This window comes from Homo sapiens, chromosome 1 (assembly GCF_000001405.40).
Source record: "Homo sapiens chromosome 1, GRCh38.p14 Primary Assembly".
Taxonomy (NCBI): Eukaryota; Metazoa; Chordata; class Mammalia; order Primates; family Hominidae; genus Homo; species Homo sapiens.
In genome coordinates this window covers 156,712,811-156,713,608 of record NC_000001.11, presented here as the reverse complement: position 1 = coordinate 156,713,608, position 798 = coordinate 156,712,811, and the positions used below count along the sequence as shown (strand labels likewise).

The 798-nt window shown below is 49.5% G+C and overlaps 1 annotated feature.

Moving 5' to 3' along the window:
* Positions 1-516: an enhancer, noted in NCBI's record as "H3K4me1 hESC enhancer chr1:156682885-156683400 (GRCh37/hg19 assembly coordinates)". NCBI's record gives its function as "activates a minimal SCP1, AML or CMV promoter by ChIP-STARR-seq in naive H9 embryonic stem cells {active_cell/tissue: H9 hESC(naive)}" and the evidence as "EXISTENCE:reporter gene assay evidence [ECO:0000049][PMID:30033119]".

The window sequence follows — 798 nt, the reverse complement described above, 5'->3', positions numbered from 1 at the left end:
CCTGAGTAGCTGGGGTTACAGGCACACATCATCACGTTCAGCTAATTTTTGTATTTTTAGTAGAGACGGGGTTTCACCATGTTGGCCAGCTGGGTCTTGAACTCCTGACCTAGTGATTCATCCGCCTCAGCCCCCAAAGTGCTGGGATTACAGGCGTGAGTCACCGCACCTAGGCGGCCTCTCCATTTCATTTTTATTTTATTTTAGGTACTTATTTATTTATTTTGAGACAGAGTCTTACTCTGTCACCTAGGCTGGAGTGCAGTGGCGTCACCTCGGCTCACTGCAACCTCCACCTCCTGGGATCAAGCAATTCTCTTGCCTCCACCTCCCAAGTAGCTGGGATTACAGGCATGTGCCACCATGCCCAGTTAATTTTGTATTTTTTAGTAGAGACAGGGTTTTTCCATGTTGGTCAGGCTGGTCTCGAACTCCCGACCTCAGATGATCCACCCCCTTCGGCCTCCCAAAGTGCTGGGATTACATGGTAAGCCACCGCGCCCAGCCTCTATGCTTTCTTTCAAAGGGTACATACAATGCATAGGATTTGGAGAGGTGGGGAAGTGTGGAGAGAGAAGGTGTTTTTAAGAATTTGGCATGGAAGGACAAGCACACCTTAATCCTCTTCCAGGCTCAACCAAATTCCATTCTGAAGTGTTTAAAAGCAAAGCTTTGGAATCAGACACACCCAGGACACCATATGGAAACTCTTGCACAGTGCTGGGCCCAGAGTAAGTGCCACTCATTTCCCAGGCCCACGCCTGTGACCCTGACCCTGCCTGCCAGAGCTCATAGCTG